Source organism: Homo sapiens, chromosome 7 (genome assembly GCF_000001405.40).
Source record: "Homo sapiens chromosome 7, GRCh38.p14 Primary Assembly".
In the NCBI taxonomy this organism is placed as follows: domain Eukaryota; kingdom Metazoa; phylum Chordata; class Mammalia; order Primates; family Hominidae; genus Homo; species Homo sapiens.
This window is the reverse complement of record NC_000007.14, coordinates 150,715,280-150,716,612: the sequence shown is the minus strand read 5'-3', so window position 1 is coordinate 150,716,612 and position 1,333 is coordinate 150,715,280.

The following is a 1,333-nucleotide window of genomic DNA, read 5'->3' as shown; positions in this document are numbered from 1 at the left end:
GCTGTTTCCTCTCGGCACACGGAGGAAATCACTCAGACTTCAGAAATCAGGAAGCTCAGGGTGGGCCCCATGGTTATGGTTTAAAGAGACAGAAACATTTCCCATTGAGCTGTGGGTTGGCAATACTTCTCCTACCGACTCTACTTTCTGCTGTGACTGAGGTTATGTGTCTCCAGCAGGGCCTCATGATGTCAAATATCTTGCCATGCTCTAAGAAGGGAGGGATGTTGTAGTCTCTGAGGCCTGACTGTACTTCTAAAATTGATTACTGAGCTAATCTTCAGTTGCCTTTGCCCTATAGGGACATTTCCCCATATAAAATAGGCCCAGAGAGTCTCCTGCCCCGGAACAAATAACGTAATAGCTGTTCTCATCATCTGTCCATTAATTAGACATTCATGTGGCCAGTGCCAGCCCCAGATCCAGTCTGCCAGAAAAACCTGAAGGCAAAGTCTTATCATTCTCTGAGAGAGGAGGGCTTTCCCAGCTATTGAAGGACTTGAGGGTGAACTGGTATGTTGAGGATGAACACCTTCGCACTATCTTCAATTTAGCCTTATTAGGAGGCTTTAGTCTAGTCGTCTATGTTGGTATCACCAGTTCTAGTTATTCTATCTTCTCTCAAGAGCATCATGAGGTCAGCAAAAAAGCGAATCACTGGGTGGTAAGAAGGCTACAGAGGAGCAGGCTGCATATCTGGTTAGGTCATTAACCAGCTATAGGACCTCACCTAACTCATTTAAACTTTCTGGAGTTGGCTTTCTGGAGTATATGGGGAAGACAATAACCCGAGTCTTACCCTACTGGATAGGATCTGCTTTTTAACCTCTTTCATGCCAGACCACTTTTTTTCTGGTAGGGAAGAGACCCAGCTTTTACTGTTTCCCATCTTTTTGGGGGCACAGAGTCTCCTGGATATCTGACATGTCCACTGTTTCCATTCATCATTGCTGAAACAGGGAGCCTGTCATTCTCCCAGTAGACCGGCAGGGCTGGGGCTATTGTGAGGCAGGTGGGGCATCTAGAGCACACAGCTTAAGGAGGCACTCACTCTCAGGTCACCCAAGTGCAGATCTTGTAGGTGGGTGACCCTGGGAGTGAGTGTTTTCTTAAGAGTGAGGTGCCTAGGGCTTCTCACTAGCCTCATCCTAGCCCAAGCCACATAGATCAGCTTTGAATAAGTCTTTGATACTTGACGTGTACCTTTCATAAAGACGCTTTCAGAGCCTCTTCAACAGCTCCGGGCCATTTATTGTTTCCATGCATGTGTATGATGTCTTACTTCAGCCACTCATAACTCTCTGTCAGAGGGTTTATCTGACTACAAAAGTAT